This window comes from Homo sapiens, chromosome 3 (genome assembly GCF_000001405.40).
Source record: "Homo sapiens chromosome 3, GRCh38.p14 Primary Assembly".
NCBI classification, from domain to species: Eukaryota; Metazoa; Chordata; class Mammalia; order Primates; family Hominidae; genus Homo; species Homo sapiens.
The window spans coordinates 143748456-143774293 of NC_000003.12; the positions used below are offsets into that span (position 1 = coordinate 143748456).

At 39.5% G+C, this 25838-nt stretch overlaps 1 protein-coding gene across 4 annotated transcripts in view, besides 2 other annotated features; it reads right to left on the reverse strand.

Moving 5' to 3' along the window:
• Nucleotides 1–25838, reverse strand: part of SLC9A9 (solute carrier family 9 member A9) — a 583247-nt gene that overhangs the window by 483234 nt on the left and 74175 nt on the right. The window lies entirely within an intron of this gene.
• Nucleotides 3201–3550: an enhancer, noted in NCBI's record as "active region_20658". NCBI's record gives its function as "activates an Ori minimal core promoter by ATAC-STARR-seq in GM12878 lymphoblastoid cells {active_cell/tissue: GM12878}" and the evidence as "EXISTENCE:reporter gene assay evidence [ECO:0000049][PMID:35858748]".
• Nucleotides 3611–3730: an enhancer, noted in NCBI's record as "active region_20659". NCBI's record gives its function as "activates an Ori minimal core promoter by ATAC-STARR-seq in GM12878 lymphoblastoid cells {active_cell/tissue: GM12878}" and the evidence as "EXISTENCE:reporter gene assay evidence [ECO:0000049][PMID:35858748]".

Genomic DNA, 25838 nt, shown 5'->3' on the forward strand with positions numbered 1-25838 from the left:
ACTATTAATATTTGGTTTTCTTTTTCTTTTCATGAAAATTCCCCTCACTAAATGTCTGGCTGCTGCTCTGACCATCCAGCAAATATCCTCTACTACCAAATGGTTCAGCTGACCCTTCATGAACAAAAGGTAACTGAATGAGAAAATGGACTTACAATGTTCAAAGGAAAGAAGAATGTCATCTCTTCTTTCTTTGAACAGAGGACGGACTGGCAAAGAGTCTCTTTTTGACCAAGCTTTTTTTTTTTTTTTTTTTTTTGAGACGGAGTCTCGCTCTGTCGCCCAGGCCGGACTGCGGACTGCAGTGGCGCAATCTCGGCTCACTGCAAGCTCCGCTTCCTGGGTTCACGCCATTCTCCTGCCTCAGCCTCCCGAGTAGCTGGGACTACAGGCGCCCGCCACCGCGCCCGGCTAATTTTTTGTATTTTTAGTAGAGACGGGGTTTCACCTTGTTAGCCAGGATGGTCTCGATCTCCTGACTTCATGATCCACCCGCCTCGGCCTCCCAAAGTGCTGGGATTACAGGCGTGAGCCACCGCGCCCGGCCTGACCAAGCTTTTTAACTGAACTTCAAGTCTTTTTTTTTCTAGACCTTAATTTTGCTTCATGAATAATACTAATAAAGGTGCAAATATAGACTAGTGAAGAAAATTTAAAGCATGTTTGAAACATTATAAACACATGGTTTATATATTTGCATAATATTTTAAATTATTATTTATAAATGCTTCTCACATCTCTTTGCCTTATTTGGAGCATTGCTATTGTGTTGTTAAGAACAAAAATAGCTACAGTATCATTCTTTATCATACATGATCTAGATGTTTTCTTTCTCTACTCCTGTTTTCCTCCCTTTAGAAAAATGTATCCATGGTTAACATTAAGAAGAAAATTAGCTGTAAAATCAAAAACACAACAATAGTCTAAGAGCCACAACCCACTGGAAAAGGCCACAGCATCGAACAGCTAAGCTAAAAATTCCATGTCTGGATACTTGGTTGAAATTCCCTCGCTCCCACTCAGCAAAGCATCCCCAGATGCCAAAGATTACGCATTCCACTTTATAAGGACTAACGCTGAATGCTTTTTAAATACAAAATTAAAAAGCAAGTCATTCATAAACTTCAGTACTCCATCAGTACCACATCGTTTTGTCATATGTTAACGCTAGAGTTGCGGAGAATGGTTACTTGGGATAAAAGATTTCATCTTTAGTTGATTTCCAGGACGAAGTGGTTCAATAGTTGTTCTGCTTCTTACAATTCTCAGAGAGTTTAAATTGCCCTTGAAATTCTCTTAATTGGTCCATGAGGTACAGTTATCCCGGTTTCAAGAGTATATTCCTATATGGAAATCTTTGTACACACTGAAGTTTGAGAACTGCGGGCTAGACTAAAATCAGGAACAAAAGGAAAGTCTATATGCAGATGCTCAGGCACTTAAATCACTGTGCCTTTCGGATATGATTAAACTCTACCAGTGAGTAGGGGGAGAAATCTAAATTACGCAGGCTCTCCTGCAGATACTACTCCATTTTTTGTTATAAGATTAAGCCTCCATGATCCTTATTTGCGAATAGGTTTATCATTGTAAAAATAAAAGCTCCGGGCAGACACAGAGAAAGAGACAGAGAGAAAGAGACTCTAAAGTCAGCTTCCTGGTTAAATGCATAATGCCGTATTGTCTTGATACAGCAGTTAAAAGTGGCCCTAAATTCCCGTGGAAGAGGAAGACAATGCACCAAAAGGGCCTTACAATTCTAACTTCAGTTAAAATCATTTATTTTGAACTTTGTTCTAACTTTCAGTGGAGGCTTTAATGACTCCAGTAAATGACAATGTGCTTGAATTTTCACTGGCATTTTCTATTGTCACAAGCTTTAAGTTTCTTCAGAGCCCCAATTCTCTTGCATTATATTTTTTAATACCTGTAATCAAGGCCTTAGCCCAGGTCCTAAGCAAAGCTAACAAATAATTATCTTTCACAATAGAGCTAAAAACAGGAACCTAATTAATTAAAGCACTAATTGAACTTCCCATTACTGATACATTTGTTCCTGCTCTGACATAAACATTAATCAAATTCACTGAATAATTCAGCTCTCCATTTCCCTCACCTGTGTAGACAAATCTGCCTGCTGTCCTGTAATGGTGAAAGATGAAAATGTTTTATGATGTCATTTGGTAATATCCTTGTTGAGTACTAATAACTGATAATATTGTATAGTCAAATGGGAAGAGGGTACAGAGTAAAAACAAAATGCTGTTAAATATATATCTATATATATATATATACATATATAATTATATATCTTATATATTTATAACAAATATTTGTCTCTTCTTTTAAAAAACAAACCCATGGAGGAAAGAACCTTTTGAAAAAATTTTAAAGAATTTCGCAAGAACATCTGCATTTTAATGAAGTGGGTTATTTAGATTGCAACTGTATGGGGCAGTAGATTTCCTTTAATTATGTGATTAGATAAATATTTATGTATTTTTTCTCTGTTGAAATCCAAGCTTCCTGTTGAGTCTAAATGCTGGCTCTCCCCTCTCCAGCTGGCAGAACCAGTTTTCAGGGCTGCTGGAGAAGATGCACATCAGATGCTGCTTCAAGGAGATAGGAAGTCATTGTTCATGGGCAGTTCTGTTTTGGAAGCCAGGCTAACTGGGACCATAGTTTGATATTGCAGGGCGAGTCAAGAGTGCAGCTCTTGCTGCTGTCTAAACAGGCTCATGCTGTGTGGAGAAAAGGTTGCAGACTCTCTGAAGGCATCACCTTCTCTAAGTATCTCACCTTAAAACCACCAGGAGGAGGTTACCTGCAGATCCACCTAATTGTTGGTGGTGGATGATATGATGCCTAGCCTTCATCTCCCTTTGAAGATGTAGAATTTATTCCCCCCACTGCGGCAAAGAGGGCCCTTAGCTCTGAGCTCCCTATGGGGATTTCCTTGGTTGAAGGAAGCTATCTTTCCTGGAGGGCATGCTGCTTTCCAGAGACATCCGATGCTATAAACATATGAAGACCTGGTCTCCTGTGCCAGTTTAGACAGCTCTGAAGGGCCATCCTGACTCCAGAGTCCCCACTCCTTGGGGTCAGCTGGGGCTTTGGTGAGGGGCTGCATTGTAGTTCAACTTCCTCTGCACCCTCCTACCTCCCACCGCTTCTTTCCACAGGTCTGATCCCAAAAGCACTCCCTAATCTGTGCACAAGAACCTCTGCTTCAGGGTTGGCTTCCAAGGGAGCCTATCTGTGAGAGGGATGACAGGAAGTAAATAGTATGACACTACTCAAGATCGGGCAGACATGGCATCAACAGGCAAATGCTGAAAGGAAGTGAAAGAAAGCAGCTGGGGGTACAGGGAGAAGCAGACCACAGCGAAGACTCAAATGAAATAGGCAATGTTTGCCTTTCTCCTCAGCACTGCGTTGAGTGGAGTGTGATTCTGGGCCAGGGCCTGGGGCATCCTCAGTGAGGCTGACTGTAAGAAAACCTGTTCAGGCCAACATGGCAGCTGGGGAGAGGGAAGAACCAGGGCTGGGAGGAGAGGACTACTGAAATCGCCTTTCAGACACACATCAAACTCTTCAGAAACAGGTTCAGAGTTACTTCAAAGTAGACTTACTTCAAAGTGATGTTGAGAGATTTTAAAATAAACCACAGAGTTCTCAGAAATCTCCTCAGCTGCAGCAGCAGAGTGCACACCACCCCATCCTTATGTGGAAAGAAAATGAGATTCCAGAGATCTCTCTCATTAGCAGAGAGAACAGCAGTCCACCTTTATCTCTGGTGATATGGAAACAAACTATTCACAGGCTTCTAGAAACATCTGGCCCCCATTCCACCTGTTTTGAATTCTCTTTTTTATCGTATTAGCCACAGGCAGCCTAGTAAGTCTCCAGATGAGACCGTAAGTTTTAGGCACCGTTGCCTGATAAAGCTGAGACGATTTAACACAAGAGATGCTCACTGTGCTTTCCTGACCAGTGAACAAAGAAAAAGCATAGCGGCCTCCATAGGTCTGCCCATCTCAAGGGAGGTAAGGGTGAACATTGCAAGAAAGAAAGAAGGTAGGAGCAGGAGTATGGCGGCAACTTAAAATAATGAGTGTAGTTATAATACTTGGTGTGCTTTTGTCCCCAAAAGCCAGCACAAGTCTGGCTGCCTGCACAGAGCCGCAACTCTTGAAAGGGTACCAGGAGAGCTATGTGAAAAGGTTTTTTTTTTTTTTTTTAAGTTATCCGTTAGATGCTCTGAAAAGGGCTTTGTACTGAGCTTAAGGCAGCTCAGTTTAGCAGTAGGTAGAACATTGTTAAAATGGATAAAAATGGGAGATAAGCTTTGCTCCCATAATCTGCTTCCAATGGATATGGAAAAGAAAAGAAGTGGCTCCTTAGAGACATATTGTTGTTGCACTTATTGGGCTCAAAGGCCTTCCTCTGGAATTAATATTTACCTCCAATTACAGTTTCCTGGCGTAAGGAGTCCCTATTGATGATCCTATTCTGAAAAGCTTTGATTTATTGAGTAAGTAGGCAAATCCACTCACTTAGGTACTCCATCCCAGAAAGCAGCCAATGAAAAGATTAAAATCAGAGCAGGAGGAATGCTTTATTTACACTTATTTGAAGTTCAGACCTTCACTCCTCTCTCCCCACTCCCTTGGAGCAGAATGGCTCCAAGAAGTTTTGCTCTGCTTTTAGAAAGCTCACATCTGCCTCCAGGCTGTAGCTCTGCCTTACTGTATTTTATGACCTTTGGACAGCTTTTCTGCCTCCTTGAAATTGGGATTTGGCCTGCATGAAAAAAAAAGTGTCGATGTATCACTTTGCTCACACTAAATGCATTCAAGTTGGTGAATAGAGGACTAGCTGGACTTTGCAGAGACATCAAACATTGATTAAAAGCTCTGCTTTCTTTTCCCCATCCCCTATTTTTGCAAGGCATACAGAGCTCCAGTCCCTTCTCTGGATGGATGAAAGAACAAGGTGGAATTTTATCTCAAGAGAGGAAAAGAGAGGAAGCCAACAGAGGTCTTTCCCCTTGCCTAATGCTGCACAAGCATTTTGTTCTTTCCTAGGATCCTTTAGGACACTCTGGCTACAGTAATTGAGTTTCAGAGTGGTGGTTATCTAGAGGGTGCTGCAGGGATGAATGCTGTGCTGTGCTGTGCTGTAGCAGGCCAGGATCTGATTACCCCTCACTGTAGATGGATGTGGCTGAGTGACTGAGCATGGAGGGGACTTAGTCCTCTGGAGCTTTAAGCTGTGGCCAGCCCTAGCCTTTCTGGGATCACATGCATTACCAGTGCTTCCCAGAGGGATGTGTAATGCTAATAGATGTAAGAGAATGTCTTCAAATTAATGTTCTAATACTTTATATAAGAAGGTGAAGAAAAAGGGGATAAAGAAAAAAACATTTTTAATAAAGAGAGAAAAAGTTCTTCACATTTAACTCACCAGAGACTGCCTGCCCACAGGGGACGGACCAAAAATATGTGCAATTTTTCCCTACAATCAAGCATGTCTGGACATCTCAGGATTTCTCTTTCTCCTTCTAGAAGCCAGGAGAAGGGCTTGAGGCCCAGCCATCTCTAGAGTTTTGGATCGGCCTTTCAGAGATCACCATCTAAGAGACTCTCCAGACAAAGGTATGGAGAAGAGACAACCAGCTGGTGTGATTAACCACCTGATTCCACAGCAGGGGAGAAGTGAGATAAGAGGGAATGGAAAATATAGCAAAACATAACCATGGCAATGATAAAATAAGGAAAAGTGTTCTTGCAGCCATTCTCTGTTTCAGTAAAAGTCCCAATATGGTAACCCCAGGGTCAGGATATGATGCCTTGGGACTTTTATTCTGCTTTTATCCCTCTGAACAGGAGTCAGGTCTATGGCTGGGAAGCTCCTGTCAGTGAATATTTTCTATTCTTTCTTTGTTATGGTTTTCCTTTTCAAGCTCCCAAACACGATTATTTTGCCAGGAGAGTGTTTTCTTGTATGTGAAAGGTTTCAGAGATTATTTATGAAAAGCATCTGCAGACAATAATTGGGGAATGTGTTAAACCTGCCATCAACTTGCTTTATTGATGTGAGAGCCTAGGTGGGTCCCAGTGCAGAATAGGCTTTTCCCCATGTAAGCGAGCTACTGAAAAGGCTGTGTTGCTGAAAAGGGCAAGTCCAACAGAGGCAGACGCTCAAGAGGAAAGGACAAGGGGAAAGCAGAGGGGTGGAAACTGAGCCAGGAGTCCTGAGACAAAGCCCATGATGATAAAAACAAAAGCTTCTGGAGATGTTCAAAAGGAAAACTGGTTATCACAGAAACTCCTCCAAAACCGATCTTTTCAGGCATTAAGCCACTTTCTCCATGTATGGTGAGGAGAAATGAGAGAGTATGTATATCAAAAGAACCTCATTTGGGTGGCAGGATTCCCATCTGTTTAGTTTTAGTAAAAGTCTCCCCCTGTCGCCTAACATAGCATTTATTTCTGTCGTAGAGAAATCCAACCTTGCTTGACTTGGTTTATAGCACCCGGACAAATGGTAATTATCAGCCTGTAATTCCCTTGAGGGGAGCTGATGTTTCAATAAATTATAAGAGCTGAGCTTGAGTGGTTTATGGCACCATCAAAACCTTGATATGGACATATAATCTTATAACCACAACTTGCTAGGAAATAGGTGTTTGCACAATAGGTGATTTAGGAGTCTCCTGTACCTCTCAGAGAGCAGGAGGCCTGCCAGGATGATCCCCAGCAGCCCCTAAGCCACCTCTCAATGAAATCAAGACACTTCCTCCCTCAAAAGTTTGCCAAGGTTTCTCCAAGTTGAACATATTTGGATCTACACTGGTACACACATCTATAAGACCTGGTGATCCCCCAAAATAGTTATGTGACCATAGGTATTTTCACAAATGCTTAACATGTTCACAGGCATCTCACAGCAAGGAGGAGGTTCACACATCACATCCAAGGACACAGAGAAAGAGGGGGTGCCTAAATCTACAAGCAACCTTGATCACTGTCATTTAATATTAAAATTTATAAGATCTCCTGTTTTCAAAATGTGTTAGAGCCGTATTAGAAGCAAGAGGGAACAAGACATTCCATAGATATTTATTGTGAGGCTCCATTGTGGCCACATAGAATTGTCCAATTAAAAAGTCAGATGAAAGATAGAAATATGGCAGGATTGCTAAAAAGCACTGAAAATGAATATTATTTCTTTAATTTATTTATAACTTATACCCTCTGACTTCCAAAAGGATTTTGAAGTCACTTAGAATACAATGCCATGATATATATAAATGCCAAACATATTGTATTATAAAATATATTCTATTATAGATATGTACAAATGCATGTGTGTGTGTGTGTGTCTGTGTGTGATTTTTCAAATGTGTCAGAGGAAAAGTGGGAGAGAATTATGTTGGCAATCAAAAAGTAAGTTAAAGCAACTTGGCTCTAAATTTCTCCTTAAACTTCTTGGAAAAAGAAAAGAAGATAAACACTACATAATTCTTGGGGAAACAGAGGTTCCAGTAAGAAACTTGCTGTGTCATGCCTTAGGCAATGCAGTGGTGGCTCCAAGGACCTAGTCTCTAAAATACAGGGCCAGGTAAATTGCCATTTGTCACCAGTCAGGTCTTCCACCTGTCTGTACCCACACGATGTCAAACAAATCACTTTCATCCATAGACTGTCTCATACAGAGAAAATATCTAGGGGCGTTTTTGTGCATGTGGTCACAAAACATGAAGGCCACAATCCCATAACTAGACCTCAGGTTTCAGAAAAGAAAAGCTGATCTTCACAACAGTGGTAGTAACTAGGCTTTATAAATCCTTGAAATAAACCAATTACTGCTTTTGACAGGCAAAGGCTTTAGCATGAAAGGAAGGTTACCTACCAGTATCATTTCCACACACTACCTAAATCTAGTGCCATGTTTTTAGTGTCCTTTCTAAAAAGCATCTATGCCCCAAGCTGCTTCACAAACTTTGGCATCAACAGCCATTTCCCTTATAATCTTTGTCCTATGTATATGAAACATCTGAATATCAATGTCCAAAGATTTTCAAAAGTACTTATTTTCAAAAGTATTTATTGGTCTTCCACATCTGTGCATAACTGAATCCAGGGCACTCTGGAGAGAATGTTGTTTTGTTGGATAGATAATCTATTTTTATAGGAATAAATGCAGACTGGCTGAAAGTATTAATAGGAATAGTCACATTATAAAACTTCATACAATAAAATATGTTTAGACTTCAATATCAGCTCAAGAGATCTATCTCACCAAATGTGTATGCTTCTTTTAATTTGACAATAGGAAGTACACAATCCATTCTTTGGTTTATCCAAAGAAGCACAGAGCTGAATCTAACTGAAGTGACAAATTAATCCTGGTAGTTCTACTCCTCTTAATTGATCTCTTAAATGCTTCTGTTTTTATTTTTAATTGTGCTGTTACTGTAAACTGCCTCAAAGCCTTTTAGAAAACGCATAAATCATGTATAAACAAATGTATAAAATACAAATACTTTCTACAGGGGCTTAGATAAATTGTAAGAGGAACCAGTAAATTCATATCAGAGTACAAGAGAAATTGGAGAATTAAAGTTCTTTGCAGTGTCCCAGGAGCTGCCCCTTGTAAACTATGGTAGAGATGATCCATAAAGCCAAACAATTCACAACTCAAACCAATACCAGGGGGAATTCAGGGTTTGCTTTTCATTTCAATAATGTAGATTTGCGACACCTAAATCAAAGTCACCAGGCAGATTCAAATGCCTTCAAGTTCCAAGTGGGTAACATAAATAAGTGATATGATTAATAACAACAGGCAAGTGGGAGCTAGGCATTATGGAGAAATAGAAAATGTGCCTCTCCACTATTTAAATTTAAATTTTTATAAAACATGCTTCAGGCCAAACAAAACACATCTCCTGGCCACAGTCAATGGCTCAATGGCCATTTTGTGACTCCTGATCTAAATAATCAGTCTATTTCACTCCACTAAATTTTTGCAACAGTGGAACTATTGGCATTTGGAGTACAACAAATTTTTTTACTGGGCAGGACTTTCCTGCTCATTGCAAGTCAATGGATGCCTGACTCTCCCAGGTACCAAAAACTATAATATGCTTCAGAAAACTAAAAATGTCGCCTCTTCCAACATCTCAAACGTGTGCCTGCCCCACCTACTTATCCAGGGTAAGAACTAGTGTGTCTAATTCCTTGGCTAACTCATTCTATCTCTTGACATCTTCATGTTTCACCTCGTATTTTTGCTTCCTATGATTTTTAGGATTTAAGGATAGTATATTACCTGACTCTTTCCTTTGTCTTACACTGGATTAGAAAGGGGGGTAGTATGAAGAGGTTGGCAGGAAATGTGAAGATAACGAGATAAGGAGGAGAAGGAAAGATCAAAGGCAAGTCAATGCAGTCACTAGGTAAAGGAAACAGCCGGAAAAGTATGTGGGGAGGGAGGCTGAACCCGTCATCTTTGTTATTGCTACCACCACACAGTTTTCCAAAGTTGTTCTCTTTCATCCTCTTCTATCAGCTTGGAACTTTCCCAGAAAGCCCAATTTGAGAAACTCTACATTTTGTATCTTTGGCCTCTAAATAAAGGTAAAATCCCGTCTTAATGACTATCATTTATAACACTCAGTTCTACATAATGAGGCCATTGCCAACTCATGGTCGATAGCCCACACTAACCCAAGGTTGCTGGTATGGATATAATTAGCTCCCTTAAATGAAAATCTTATGTAGAACAGATGTATTCTAAAGTCCTTGTTCATTTACCAGCCAACCTAGTTAATATGCCTATTATATAGTGTTACACTCAGCAATAGCAATTACTTTAGAATGATCACATGTTATAATATTCTTAGTAAATCTGGCATCAATTCTCAAAATTGGGCTTTTCTTGTTTTCTTTTTTTGCATGGAGAGTTCTTGCTACCTATAGGACTTAATGGCTGTAGACATTCCCCCTGATGGGGCAGTGGCCCTCACATTTTTAAGGAAGGTAGGAAGGTCTCAGAGATTTGAAGACTTGAAGCTGTTTAGAGATAAAGTTGTTAACAGAGAAGAGAAAACAAGCCAAGGTGGGGGTAGTGGTGTGGGAATATGAGTGTCAGACAATTTCAAAATAGAGGATAGTTAGAGATAGGTAAAGCAGAGGAGAAGACTCAGACTGGGGGAAAGTCAGGAAGTGTAAATGATTCTAAGTGTAATGGTTTTGGCAGAAGAGCCAAGACTAGCAGGGCTGAGGGGAACGTGAGGGAGAAAGAGTCCTCTGAACCTTCCTCTAAGTCTTAGTATAAAGTGGGCATTTGAATGTAATGTCTACATTTAATGACAGAAAAGGGAGGATTGCAAAATGAGAGGTTACTAACAAGTTTCTACAGCCTCAGAAATTGACTCAAGGTAACTGGATATTTTCTTTTAAAATATCTGTACCTTTTAATAATGACAGTATCAAAACCAATATTTATTAGTTATGTTCTTGGCACTGTGCTGTCAACTTTACATGGATTTGTTGTTTTCATCTTCTCAACAGTGCTATGGACACCCTCATTTTACAGTGAAGAAACTAAGAAGGTGAGGGTTAAATAACTTGTCTGAAGTCTTGTGAGTACTAAGGGAGAGAGAAAGGATTTACATGAAATTATCTGATCTCATTAGGCTCCCCAGCCTCCTTCCCCATCTAACACTGCTATTTCCTGGATGACAGACCTCTTGAGAGCTACCATGACATCCCCAAGAGTGGGTTCAGAAGCCCTGTGTGTCCTGTCCCCTCCCCAGATCAGAGTTGTTCAAATCAAGATGGGCACATGGCCCCAAGTCAGTCCACTCAGATTTGCCTCCTCAAGAATTTGGGATTAGTATAGAAATAACCGGTCAGTCAGTCTGATTGGTCTTATTTATTTATTTTTTCTTTTTTTGCTGAGAAACTGTCAATGCAGGCACTATGCAATATCTACCTTATTCTCTTCAGGTCTATTGAAAGGCAGAAGGAGAGAAACAAGTGGAAGGACATAGAACAGCAATAGAAAGTGAGCCCTCTCTAAATACTTGATGGGTGTCCAGATCCTTTGAGTCCTGTCTGAGGTCCAGCTCTTTTCCTGTCACCGGATGCAATGAGACCTCCTCTATCCTCATAAGAAATACCCCCGTTTTTTTCAAGCTGCTCTGGGTTGGTTTCCATCACTTACAATGAGAGTCAACTAAAATACCATACAGACCTCCAATGTATGGTTTCTATCTCCCCATATTTATTTTACTATCCTAAGCACTTGTCTCTTTCAACAGCATTTTCTGTTATCTTGCAGTTGAGGGACCCTTTCCTAAATCCCACTGAGATTTAGGCTTAGCATAAAAACAATACTGTACGCACAAGCAGACCTCCATCATCTATTAGAAAGACTGGCAACAAAATAACCCAACCAAGCCCACTGAAAGTTGGATCTCCGCACCCAAATCTCACACGGTTTATTGTGAATATTCATGAGCACTTTCACATAGGAACTGAACAAATGAATAAACTTAGAGCCATACCTTCATTTGAAATTCCCCAAATAGTTTACTATCTTGAGTTTGATAGTGTTATAAATATAGAGAATATAGTAAACATTGGCTTTATGGAAATGGTTAAAAAAATAATAACCGTAAATAGCTCTTATTATTTTGAGATATGTCCCATCAATACCTAATTTATTGAGAGTTTTTGGCATGAAGGGCTGTTGAATTTTGTCAAAGGCCTTTGAATGGGCAAAAACTGGAAGCATTCCCTTTGAAAACTGGCACAAGACAGAGATGCCCTCTCTCACCACTCCTATTCAGCATAGTGTTGGAAGTTCTGGCCAGGGCAATCAGGTAGGAGAAAGAAATAAAGGGTATTCAATTAGGAAAAGAGGAAGTCAAATTGTCCCTGTTTGCGGATGACATGATTGTATAGCTAGAAAACCCCATCGTCTCAGCCCAAAATCTCCTTAAGTTGATAAGCAACTTCAGCAAAGTCTCAGGTACAAAATCAATGTGCAAAAATCACAAGCATTCTTATACACCAGTAACAGACAGAGAGCCAAATCATGAGTGAACTCCCATTCACAACTGCTTCAAAGACAATAAAATACCTAGGAATCCAACTTACAAGGGATGTGAAGGACCTCTTCAAGGAGAACTACAAAACACTGCTCAACAAAATAAAAGAGGACACAAACAAATGGAAGAACATTCCATGCTCACGAATAGGAATCATCAATATCGTGAAAATGGCCATACTGCCCAAGGTAATTTATAGATTCAATGCCATCCCCATCAAGCTACCAATGACTTTCTTCACAGAATTGGAAAAAACTACTTTAAAGTTCATATGGAACCAAAAAGGAGCCCGCATTGCCAAGACAATCCTAAGCCAAAAGAACAAAGCTGGAGGCATCATGCTACCTGACTTCAAACTATACTACAAGGCTACAGTAACCAAAACAGCATGGTATTGGTATCAAAACAGAGACACAGACCAATGGAACAGAACAGAGCCCTCAGAAATAATACCACAGATCTACAACCATCTGATCTTTGACAAACCTGACAAAAACAGGAAATGGGGAAAGGATTCCCTATTTAATAAATGGTGCTGGGAAAACTGGCTAGCCATATGTAGAAAGCTGAAACTGCATCCCTTCCTTACACCTTATACAAAAATTAATTCAAGATGGATTAACGACTTAAATGTTAGACTTAAAACCATAAAAACCCTAGAAGAAAACCTAGGCAATACCATTCAGGACACAGGCAGAGGCAAGGACTTCATGTCTAAAACACCAAAAGCCATGGCAACAAAAGCCAAAATTGGCAAATGGGATCTAGTTAAACTAAAGAGCTTCTGCACAGCAAAAGAAACTATCATCAGAGTGAACAGGCAACCTACAGAATGGGAGAAAATTTTTGCAATCTACTCATCTGACAAAGGGCTAATATCCAGAATCTACAATGAACTCAAACAAATTTACCAGAAAAAAACAAACAACCCCATCAAAAACTGGGCAAAGGACATGAACAGACACTTCTCAAAAGAAGACATTTATGCAGCCAACAGACATGAAAAAATCTTCATCATCACTGGCCATCAGAGAAATGCAAATCAAAACCACAATGAGATACCATCTCATACCAGTTAGAATGGCGATCATTAAAAAGTCAGGAAACAACAGGTGCTAGAGAGGATGTGGAGAAATAGGAACACTTTTACACTGTTGGTGGGACTATAAACTAGTTCAACCATTGTGGAAAACAGTGTGGCGATTCCTCAATGATCTAGAACCAGAAATACCATTTGATCCAGCCATCCCATTGCTGGGTATACACCCAAAGGATTATAAATCATGCTGCTATAAAGACACATGCACACGTATGTTTATTGCAGCACTATTCACAATAGCAAAGACATGGAACCAACCCAAATGTCCATCAATGATAGACTGGATTAAGAAAATGTGGCATATATACACCATGGAATACTATGCAGCCATAAAGAAGGATGGGTTCATGTCCTTTGTAGGGACATGAATGAAGCTGGAAACCATCATTCTCAGCAAACTATTGCAAGGACAAAAAACCAAACACCGCATGTTCTCACTCATAGGTGGGAATTGAACAATGAGAACACTTGGACACAGGAAGGGGAACATCACCCACTGGGGCCTGTCGTGGGGTTGGGGGAGGGGGAAGGGATAGCATTAGGAGATATACCTAATGTAAATGACGAGTTAATGGGTGCAGCACACCAACATGGCACATGTATACATATGTAACAAACCTGCACGTTGTGCACATGTACCCTAGAACTTAAAGTATAAAATAATAATAATAATAACCACCACCATCATACCTAATATCTAAATACATCTTTTCTTTGTAGAATGGTATTTGGGTTATTTTGATGGCCTACCAATTTCATTACAATAGAATTCAACTGGAATCCTTAACAAATAATTAAAATAGCCCCTGATGGAAGATTAACTTCTATATTCCCAAATAAATCTTTGTAATGGGTTGTTTTAGTAGTGTGGTGATCACCAAAGCAATTTCCCCAAGTGAACTATGTTATTTTGAGGGAGACAGAGGCAATAAAACTACCTAGAATTATTTTCTCAAGTTTATCTGAGCTTGCCAGAGCAATTGATACACCTGTGTATGAACACAGCACAAGGAGATTGTCTTCTCCACCCTCCTCAATTTTCAGACGAATATACTGAGGCCTGAAGAACAAGAGTCCCACAATATATGGCCAGTGTGGCACTGTCCTCTGATTCTGCTGGTCTCCCTGATGTAAATCCCTTTACATCCTACCCCTTTGAGAAGGCTGTGTGGCTGACTTTTACAGGTTTCATAACCTTAGAAGTTAAGCTTTTCATGGAAGAACTCAGATCAACTCAGACAAACAGTGGGAAGCAATCAGCGGAATGCCAGGCATTGGGAGGGGAACTTCTGGTCCAGGCTCTGCCATTCACTCAGGTGGGGCCTTTGGACTCCATTTGTGAAAAAGAGGAGGCGATGGAACTATTGGCCATAAGGTCTTCATGACATCCTGGAGAGTCCTTATATGTCTGTAGAAGAGCCAGCTAGCCCCACTGCTTAGGCTTTTGGTGGCAGCTTCTAGTGGCTCTCTTACCCAGTGTGCAGCACTGGAAATGCATATGTTCTTATGACCAAAGGAGTTCATGACCCTCTTCCTTCAGAACCCAGGTGACATGCATGAGAGTCAACCCACAATGGCATTCAAATATCTGTCAGTAATTATAGCAAGAGCCATTTAGTTCACAGCCTTAGAAATTTACATCCCTCTACTTTTTTCATCTTGACTTTATCTTATTTACTAGACTAGGAACAAAGGAATTTTGAGTTGACAGAATCCAATCATCTGAGTTAAGGTAAATGTCATTATAAACAAATCAGTTCAAATAATTGATGTGTTATTTTGTCACTGTGATTTTAAAGAAAAGCACAAGCCCCTTCCAGTTCTCTTTGATAATAAAATACCATCATGGATTTGTACACTCCTGGTTTCTGGTATCAATTCAGCCTCCTGTGATAGGTGTTACTAAAAACCTTTGAAGAACTTGTTTGTACATGCCAGATTTTCTTTAATATACCAACCAGTAAGTAATTCTACTCTGCAGTCTTTCAAAAAAAGCTAGAAAAATGAAGCAAAAAGCAAAATAAAATGTTTGATTTTTTTTTTTTTCACATTTCTTTTTGTCATAAACCATGGAATATGGCTCAGGATCTCCATCTAGTGGAATCTTTAAGGTGAGAACTCTGTTGTAAAATCTCTTAGTCCTGGAAAGTTGGGGATAGGGCCATTAAATAAGACAAATAATTTTTTTTCTACACACATGCATTTATTGAGAGTCTAATATGATAAGTGTGTGTTGCTTCTTTTTAACTAGGAGAATCCATATTTCCTGGGTTACCATTAATAGGTCAGTCTCTACTAAGGTCTCCAAACCATGAAAGACCATCACATGTCATTTTGTTTACAGGGATAACTGGGTTCTTCCTTCTTCTCTTTCCCAAGCTTATATTATAGAATTTCACTTCTTTTTTAAAAAATCCACTCTGACAGGGTAAGGAAAGGGAAAGGAAAAACCTCAGGAAAAGCCATTTTTCTTCTAGTTGTTAATTCTCATCAAGAGTCTGATGGAGAAAGTTGTTGAGGTATATAACATACAATGTGAGCTCTCTCAGTTATGTCAAAGAGTCATAATAAGTCATGCTGTCTATGTCATGCCCCCACCCATCTGCTTCTCAGGGTGAACATACCCTATTTCTGTGCAGCAGACTGGAGAAATTTCAATGATAGCGTATCACTTTCCAGATAGAACACTTCTAATTCTTTCCGTCCTTGGAATGTAATATATGCAATTCAACTTATATTCCCACAAGCAGTGCCAACTGCTGCCCTCAGAGTAACTTTTGGAAAACTATTAGATGCACAGTCACCACCTCATGTGGCCACCCCAGTGATCTAGAAAGGCTAAGAATTCCTTCCCTGAATTTTGTATCTTTTCTTCATTATGTCTGGGTTTGTTTGTTGGTTTTGAGGCAGGGTCTTGCTCTGTTGCCCAGGCTACAGTGCAGTGGTGTGATAATGGCTCATTGTAGCTTTGAACTCAAGTGATTCTCCTATTCAGCCTTCCAAATAACTGGGACTACATCATGCACTACCATACCCAACTATTTTATTTATTTATTTATTTATCTATCTATCTTTTGTAAAGATCGGGTCTCACTATGTAGACCAGACTGGTTTCTAACTCCTGGCCTCAAGAGATCCTCCCACTGTGGCCTTCCAAAATGCTGGGATTATAGGTGCGAGCCACCAGGCCTGGCCATGTCTGGTATTTTGTTTCATGTGTATGAGTCCATCACCAATTAAACCAGGAAACATTTTTCTTTCTTCCTTCCTTCCTTTTTGTTTCTCTTTCTTTCCTTCCTTCCTTCCTTCCTTCCTTCCTTTCTTTCTTTCTCTCTTTCTCTTTCTTTCTCTCTTTCTCTTTCTTTTTCTTTCTTTCTTTCCCTCTTTTTCTCTCTTTCTTTTTCTTTCTCTCTTTCTTTCTTTCCCTCTTTTTCTTTCTTTCTCTCTTTCTTTCTTTTTCTTTCTTTCTCTCTTTCTTTCTTTCCTCCCTCCCTCAGGCCCACCCTTCCTCCCTTTCTCTCTCTCTTTCTTTCTCTCTTTCTTGACAGGGTTTCCCTACGTTGCCCAGGCTGGTCTTGAACTCCTGGGCTCAAGGGATTCTCCTGCCTTGGCCTCCCAAAGTGCTAGGATTACAGGCATGAGCCACTGCACCTGGCCAAGATTCCTATTTTCTAACTTCTTGGGTTCAGATCGTATGAGTGTCACACTGTCGATATGCTACTAGAAAAGATGGGGACCATTTCGAGTGCAGTAGGGATCTCTTGTTATATTTATGCTGCTCAATAGGCTGTTTATTCATTCACTATATGTGGTAAATTAATGTTTATTAAATTGAATTAAATAACACATAATTTATATACTAGTTGTTCTTTATTGCAAAAGAAAGCATCAATTGTCAGATGGTGCTAAAGACTGCTCTCTGTGACAAATATAAATTCGTGATTGTTGATATAAGTGACCAAAATAATCTATGCCTCAAAATCACCTGGGCCCTGTACAGTCAAATTCAATATTACTTTCATTCATAATTAAGTTTTTATTCAGGATATATGGTGAAATGATTGCATTAACAGCCCCACTTCCTCACCCTTCCATCCTTTTGCCATGTACCTTTGCAGTGTCCTCTCTGACTGTAGCCTCAGGCATGTAGCCTGCTTTGTCCAATAGGATGTTAGCAGACTTGGCTTAAGCAGAAGCCTAAAAAAGCCTTGTAAATTTTTGCTGTTTCTGTCACATCTCAGCCAAAACCATGAAAACACATCTGTCCAGGCAAACCTGCTAGAAGATGAGAGGCATGTGGCCCAGTCACTTATGTCATACCAGGCAAATATTAGGCACATGAATGAGACCAACTGATACAAGAAGAATCACCCAGCAGAGCAAAGCCTAAAGCCCTGACCTGCGGACTCTTGAGCTGTTATTGTCTTAAGCTACTGAGTTCTGTGGCAGTATGTCAAGAAGCATTATTGAGGCAATAGATACCTGATAGATGATGCATGCTAAGTTCTGGAATAGCATAGAAGTTCTGTTGGACAACAGTGAACTGTAGACAAAGACAAACTACAATTTAGAATATAGGATAGATGGGAGTCAGAGAAAACAAAGGTGAGAAAGTGCCTCATATTGAGGATAAGTTGATATTTGAAGAAAGAAAATTTAAAAGGATGTAAAGTCAGACAACAAGGCCAGAATAAATATAAACATACTTAGCTAATATGTATGAAAGGAAGAAAGTCCTGATGTTGGAGGATGGCTACCACATAAGATCTGCTGTCATCACACATTTAAATATAGTGGGGGTGATTGCTTTAAACATTAAGGAATTGCAAATGTGACTATTTCTACAACTGGGTATGTTTTCTTAGCTGTAGGTGGAGGGTAGGCTGGAAAAGTTTTTTTTGTTTTTGAGACACAGTCTCACTGTGTCACCCAGACTGGAGAGCAGTGGCCTGATCTTGGGTCACTGCAACCTCTGTCTCCCAGGTTCAAGTGATTCTCCTGCCTCAGCCTTCTGAATAGTTGGAACTACAGGTGCCACCACCTTGCCTGGCTAATTTTTAAAAAATATTTTTAGTAGAGACGGGGTTTCCCTATGTTGGCCAGGCTGGTCTAGAACTCCTGACCTCAGGTAATCTGCCTGCCTTGGCCTCCCAAAGTGCTGGGATTACAAGCATAAGCCACCATGCCCAGCCTTAGACTGCAAGAGTTCTAAAGCTTTTTCCACATGTCCCATAATTCTATCATTTCAGTATACTAGTTATTGTTTTGCAAATTTATTCTTAAAAAGTATGGTAATCATGGCCACAATTGCTGTAAGCAATGGGAAAGCAGTATCTGTATCATTAATACCACTATGATCTGAGTGCGCTTGAGCTAGAATTCATGAGAATTCTGCTAATATTATGGTTATGGTGTTTATAACACGTTTCACTCAGGAGGTATGCTTCTTGCCTGGACCTCTAGATATTTCTGCAGAGGACAGAGTGAAACAACTGAGGTTGGACTAGAGTAACATGTCCAACTTCCTGCATGTTATTCATGCCAGGGTGTCTTTGGGCAGGACCGGGTAACAAGAGCTTAGAAGATGAATTTCCCATACTGAGTAAATTTATTTACCCCTTCCCTATCATATACACAGATGAGATGGCGCTGCCTTTCAGGTGATTTGGTTTGTGAAACAGTAAGTGTCTGTGTATGTGTGTGTGTGTGTGTGTGTGTGTGTGTGTGTGTGTTTACAGAAAATTAACTTCAAGGGCCACATTAACTGTTTGTTTGTTTGGAGGGAGGATAGTTCCACGGACAAATGTCTTGTTAACCTCAACTAGAAAGCTCTCTCTGGCCAGTGACTCACCTCATTCTTATATACCTGTAGCATCACACCTATTGAAAAGAACACCATAGACTCCTTGGTTTCTATTATTTTGTGGTAAGGAACTTTAAGTACAGTCTTGTTTCAATGGAGGTACAACAGTTTAGAATTTCTTTAATAGCAAGTGTGTTTGTCTATCCTTTACAACACAATTTTTTTAAAGTTCAATACATGTTTAAAAATTGCCTATTTCTTTGAAGAAATGGCTATTTAGATGCCTAATTTCCAACCATCTTTATCACTTCACGCATTTCTATGCCCTTTTTCCATCTTATAACCTAATGATTATAAAGAGGAAGTTTAATGATTTAGAATTAACTATACAGGTAGTAATTATGTCTCTCACTTCCTCAGAAGTTTTTTAATAATCAAAATATATTTTCTTGAAGACAGCTGGTGTAAATGCTAATGTTTGCTTTGCTGTTAAATTTTGGACAAGGCAATTAAAGGTAAATAGATGACAGCTATTGAGATGCTTTCCATAACTACTCCCTTTGCCCTTCCAGCTAGACTTTTCCATCTTTCTCACCACTTTCTTTTCCTTCTTATTCTTCACACTACCTCCTCTCCTCACTGTCACACAGGGCTCACTGACTGACTGCCAGACACCCAGGGTACACATATCAGGGGCTCCTCACTCTCATTTATTCTCAGCGAGGGGGAAAATCAGAGAAACATTTCTACCTAAAAATAATGATGATTCCTGTGATAATAAGTAATCAAAAGAATACCACTTGTTAAGGGGGCACTGCATATCTGGCATTATTCTAAGAGTGTCATGTATATTAATTTATTTAATCTTCACAACAACCTACCCTGTATTTTATGCCCAAGTTATAGATGTTGAGAAAGATTCTTCTATTTTGTTTAAGGGATGAAAGTTTCATCTCTTGGTATGAGATGTACCACATTTCCCTGTGCATGTGCTGTAGTGATAGAATACTTCTTACAAGGCATTGGAACTACAGGGGATATATCTCATATAACATAGGAGGAACCTGTTTAAGATATCAAAGAATTATTTTAGAGAAAATAACTCCTAATTACGCATACAATAAGACACATAGATTATGTATAATATGGCTAGAGATGTACAGTGCTATATGCATAATAGGTACCTAACAGGTGTTGAACAAATGACATGGCGTATTAGTGTTCTGTGCATGTGTCTTCATTCAGCAAAATGTGGAGCCCATGAAGGGAAATGGGATTTCTTGGGAAAGTTTCCAATGCTGACATCCTAATGCTATTTAATTGAAAACAAGATTAGACTCTTGCCACTGTGCAACAGTGTGTATAAATGTTTGTATTTTATCACTTTGACAAGATGTTTTATATTGACATATGAAGAGCAAAAATACAATCAGATCTTTTAGTCTGTCATAAAAGGTTAAGCATGGCATAGTGTTTAAAAGCTTGTTTCTACTCAGGTTGCCCCATTTGCATTTGCTATCTTTGTGACTTTGGCCGAGTTATCTTTTCTGTGCCTTAGTTTCCTCACTTGTATGGGGAGAAGAAACAACATGATAGCATTATCAGGATTAAAGGAGATAAACATATGTAAAATACTTGGCAAGTGATACATAGTATTATAGATAGTAAATATTATTACTGCTCATAATTAAAAATGAAATAAGGAGCTGCCAAAGTAGATGCAAATAAAATTGTATTTTGTAATCTTAATAATACAAAAAGGGTTTCTCTAACCCTCATTACAATCTAAACTCGCCTGGGACCCTGCTCTGGGAAAGCAGTATCTGTATTATACGTTTCCTATACCCAGAAATCTAACTTCTCTTTATTCCCCTTGATGGATTCATGTAATCTCTACCCATGTTAACATTAGCCAAAACAAGCCCATATTGAATTCAATCGCATAACCAGTCCAGTCTATTTAATGTTTTATTCTTCTGTCCCTAAAGTATTCCTCTGAAACAAAAGCAAAGCCAGAGGTAAGTACAAGAAAACTTGAGAACTGCTTCTTTTCCACACTGTTATAAATGCTCTCTTTTGCTATTTTCTAAGAGTAGTCCTGTGCCTTCCAAATCTCCAGGAAGCTATGCTAACTTGTAATTCCATGTGAGCTAAAGAATAAAAAGTCCATACAAAAATACAAGAATATAGCAGCAAGTTATGCCCAATACTGACCTGAAACATTAATATCCCAGGAAAAGGTCAATAAAGTACAGCAATTTGTATTAGATAAAGAAGAGCATATGCTCTGGCTGCTATTCAAAACCTTTTCTCCTCAGTGTGACTCAAGGATGGATGATGTTTACATGCAGAATACACTCCCTTAGTGCAGAGATAAAATAGGCCAAGGGTTGTGTGGAATCCCTAGGGAGCTAACTGCAACTGTGGTTACTTTTTCTCTTATTCAAGAGACGTGTATCTGAATGCAATAAGTATGAGTGCTTATAAATAGCCTGAAATTTATTCTAACTATATTAAAAATATGACTAATTCTCTCATGTTGATACTTTATCATTCATAATAAATTGCTTATACCATTTCATATTTCTTGAATAGGAGGACTCAACCTCATAAATATATGAATTCTCCACAAGTTAATCTAGAATGTAATGCAATCCCAATGAAAACACCTAGTTCTAGATGATCTGGGTGAAAGATTGAACAGGTAAATCCTAACTGAATACTGAAAATAAACAAGCAAGAATAGGCAGAAAAATTCTTGGAAAAAAGGAAGAGAAAATAGCAATATTCCTATCGATATTAAAACATATTTTACAGGCACAATAATTAAGATAGTAAGGTACTAGTGCTTAAAAAAAGAAAGACAATCTATAAAATAGAATATAACTTTCACTAATGGACCAAAATAAATGTGTGAAGATGGTATACAGCAGAGATGGTATTTCAAACCAGTGGGTAAGGGATGGATTATTCAACAAGTATTCCTAAAAGAATATCTGGGTAACAATCTTGTGTTGGGAGGAGTCTGGGGGAGGGTAAGGTTAGAGCCTTACATCACAACTATCCTACCAGAAATTGGAGACAGATCAAATAATCCAAACATAAACAAACGGACAGATAAGTACTTGAGGAAAACAAGAGGAAGATGTTTAATTTTGATTCAGACTGGGAGAAGCCTTTCTGAGAAAGATCTAAACCCTGCAAAACAAAGGCTCGATAATGTCAGTTATATGAAAGAAAATATCACTGAAAAAAACTCTCCATAAACAAATGACAAACCAGGAAATATATTTGCAACTCTCATGACAAAAGACTAAACTCATAGACGTAAGATGAGCTCCTGCAACCTAATAGGTAAAGCACAAAAAGACAAAAGATATGGAAAAGGCCATGCACCAAAAGGAAATACAAATAGCTCCTAAACAAGTTTAAAGAAACCTAGATGACAGGTTGAAAGGTGCAGCAAACCACCATGGCACAGTATACCTATGTAACAAACATGCACATTCATGTATCCTGGAACTTAAAGTAAAATAAAAAAAAAAGATGCTCAGCCTTACAGTAAGAGAAATGTAAGTAAAAACTACAATGAGAGATTATTTTCTACCTATCCAAATGACAAAGGTGAGATTAAAAGGTTTGTAGGAGGGAAAATGCCTCCCCTGTAGTGTTCTACTTGGAGCCTTGATTCAGAGCACACAGTAATACGAAGAAGCAAGGGGGCTTCCTAATGGGCCTGAATTGTAGGCTGATGGGACCATCTGCAGGGAACAGGGAGGAGAGTGTTCTCTAAATAGAACCGATGTTCACTGAGTGCCAACTCTTTAAGATGCAGTTATTCATTGTGATATTTATTTTCTTTTTGTGACATTTTGGGCAAGATCATGATTCAACTGTGTATAGTGTATGATGTTAACCGAAGAAGGAAGGTGATGGAGTGCTTAGATTAGATGAAGCCTGCCTTTCCAGATTAATAATATCTTGTTAGTCACACACACCCACACATAGACACACACTCTGAAGTCACAGAGAGAAGGTGCCATGGGAGAAAGGTTAGAATCTCAAGCTCAAGTACAGCTAAAGACGCTGAATGGGGATTTATTCTCTACATTTAACTGTCCTCTTTCAGCCTAACTTGTCATTTAAACTGCAGGAAACACCTTAATTATATCTGGGAATTTTACTGGAATTTGGAGTACACTTGGTTAATAAGACATGATTTCCTCCGTGCTCCTGCTGTTGTCCCTCGTCACCTTTCTTGCTGGGAAAGGAATGGAGCCCTCCCAGGCTCTTTTCTCCTCTTGTCATTACCTGGAGGCAGGAAGCAGAGGACTTCACCTCCTTGTCTCATTTCCCAGGGGGTGGAGAAGGGACCACATCTCATTCTTGAGGGGATGGAGAAGAAGAAGAAGTCCCCTTTCCAGGTCTCCTCCAGGTTGAGCAGGAGGACAGAGGAGGAAATGCTCAGGACGGTCAGAGGGTCTGCTGAGCTGCGGCTGGGCAGATGAGTCCAAGACAGCCTCAGAGCATCCCCAGAATGTGTGTGTGTGTGTGTGTGTGTGTGTGTGTGTGTATTGGACAATGGGAGGGGGGTGAGCAGAATGCTTCCCACTGCCTGAGAGTGGCACAGACATGCCCCAGCCTGCTGGCATCCCTGGTGCTACTTTGCTGCCAGGACAAGCAAGGGTGTAGAAGTGAAGTGTGTGGACACATGCTTGAAATCCAGAGTATATCACCTCTGTGAATCAGCGTACCCAACTAACAACCAAGAGCAGAGGGCTCTGTCTGTGACACCTTCGTGCTCCAAGGCCTCCAGGAATTGGACACGGTCCCAGGGAAAGAGACTTAGTTTCAGTTACCCAGCATAGTAAAGCATCAAAACAGAAAATAATTTTAGTTACAGAAAAAAGTAAAAAAATTTGTTCTAGTACACTCAGGCTTGAGGATTAAAATGTATTCAAGTACAGATATTTGGGAAGGAAGGTTCTAGTTAGAAGTGCCTCAAATTCCAGGTTAAATCATGTGTAATTCATCATGGAAGCCCAGAGACTCCATGGATGTTTCTGAGAATTTTCTCTGCCTAGATGAAGCACAAGCTGGTCCGGGAAGGAACTGTAGCCACTACCATAGCACTTAAACACTCTTAGATAAATACCGCAGATGCCTTTTCACCTTAAAGAAGAGACATGACAGCTATTGTGAGGTGCTGATTAATAAGCTGAGTGGTTGCCCCAAGTCCGGTTTGTGAAAAACAGGTCACAGAGCTGTGATTGGAAACGTTATAGACGCTACTGCCCAAAAGTCCCACCTGGATGATGCCAATTTCAGAAGCGTCATATCAGCTCTCCATTTCCATCTGCAGATTTCAGAGAACACTGACAACTTTAGAAAACATGGAAATTGGGTTGATTTTAACTATGTTAAGGATGAAACTTTAAGTGGTCATGGTTGGACACAGGAGAAAAGAAATAACCAAAATCAGAGCTGAACTGAATGAGATGCAAAATTCTATACAGAAGATCATTGTTGGAAATCATGGTGGAGTTGATAGTTTTGTTCAGCCTTTAAAACATTTTTTTTGATGTATGCATTGTTCAAATTACTGGTCCCATTAGATCAATAATTGTATTTTGCTAGAGGTTGTATATTAATCTTCACTGTAACTAGTGTTGTGGTGCTAAACGTTTAATAAGTGGCTTTTTGGGGGGAAAAGCCCTGATTTGTAGCATTTGTAAATGTCCATGGAGTAAGTACTCACACAATGGCCAATTTCAAGCTAGCAATGAGGTCTCTGGACATGGAGTTGGGAAGAGATGTTCAGTAGCACATTCTTAAGTTGCATTTCCACCATATAGCTACAATACATGTACACAACCTCAAGAGCATGATTAATAATAAAATATAGAAAAAAATTGGGAAGCTATGAGTTTTTAGTATTTGTTAACTTTGTTTTTAATATAATTTATATGTTGGTATGTTTATGTAATCTAATTTTTACTTTTTCTTTTTTTTTTTTTGAAATGGGGTTTTGCTTTTGTTGCCCAGGCTGGAGTGCAATGGCGCGATCTTGGCTCACTGCAACCTCTGCCCCCTGGGTTCAAGCAATTCTCCTGCCTCAGCCTCCCAAGTAGCTGAGATTAAAGGCATGCTCCACCATGCCCAGCTAATTTTGTATGTTTAGTAGAGACGGGGTTTCACCATGCTGGTCAGGCTGGTCTCGAACTCCTGACTTCAGGTGATCTGCCCACCTCGGCCTCCCAAAGTTCTGGGATTATAGGCATAAGCCACCACACCTGGCCCTAATTTTTAACAATGGTTGTGTTTGATGGCTTGTTCACAAAGTTCCTGAAACATTAACCATTAGGTCTCATGAGTGGTACAAGCCATTTCCAGTGTGAGGTTCATTGCATCCCTGTCTCTAGCATGGTGATTGCCACTCAGTAGGGGTTTTACAAATGTTGGTGAATTAATTAGTTCATTAGTTAATGAGTGACTATTACAGCCTAAAAGTTTTTCAAATGCAAATGCAATAACAGATGTGTTTATTTAACATCAAATAAGGGGATAATTTAAAACAAAAAGCCAAAAATGCATATAAGGCAAAATTCTATTTTATTGCCCTCAATAAATAATCAGTGAACTAGTAAACATCTATTTATGTACTTATGCTACTACGTAGCATCCATATAATTGAACAGTTGGATTTTAAACTCAGCAAGATATAATAACTACAGGCCAACCACGTCACCTTTCGGGACTTGACTCAACTAAAAGGGATGTCTGGGAAAGGTGTGTGGGAGCGCCTTTAC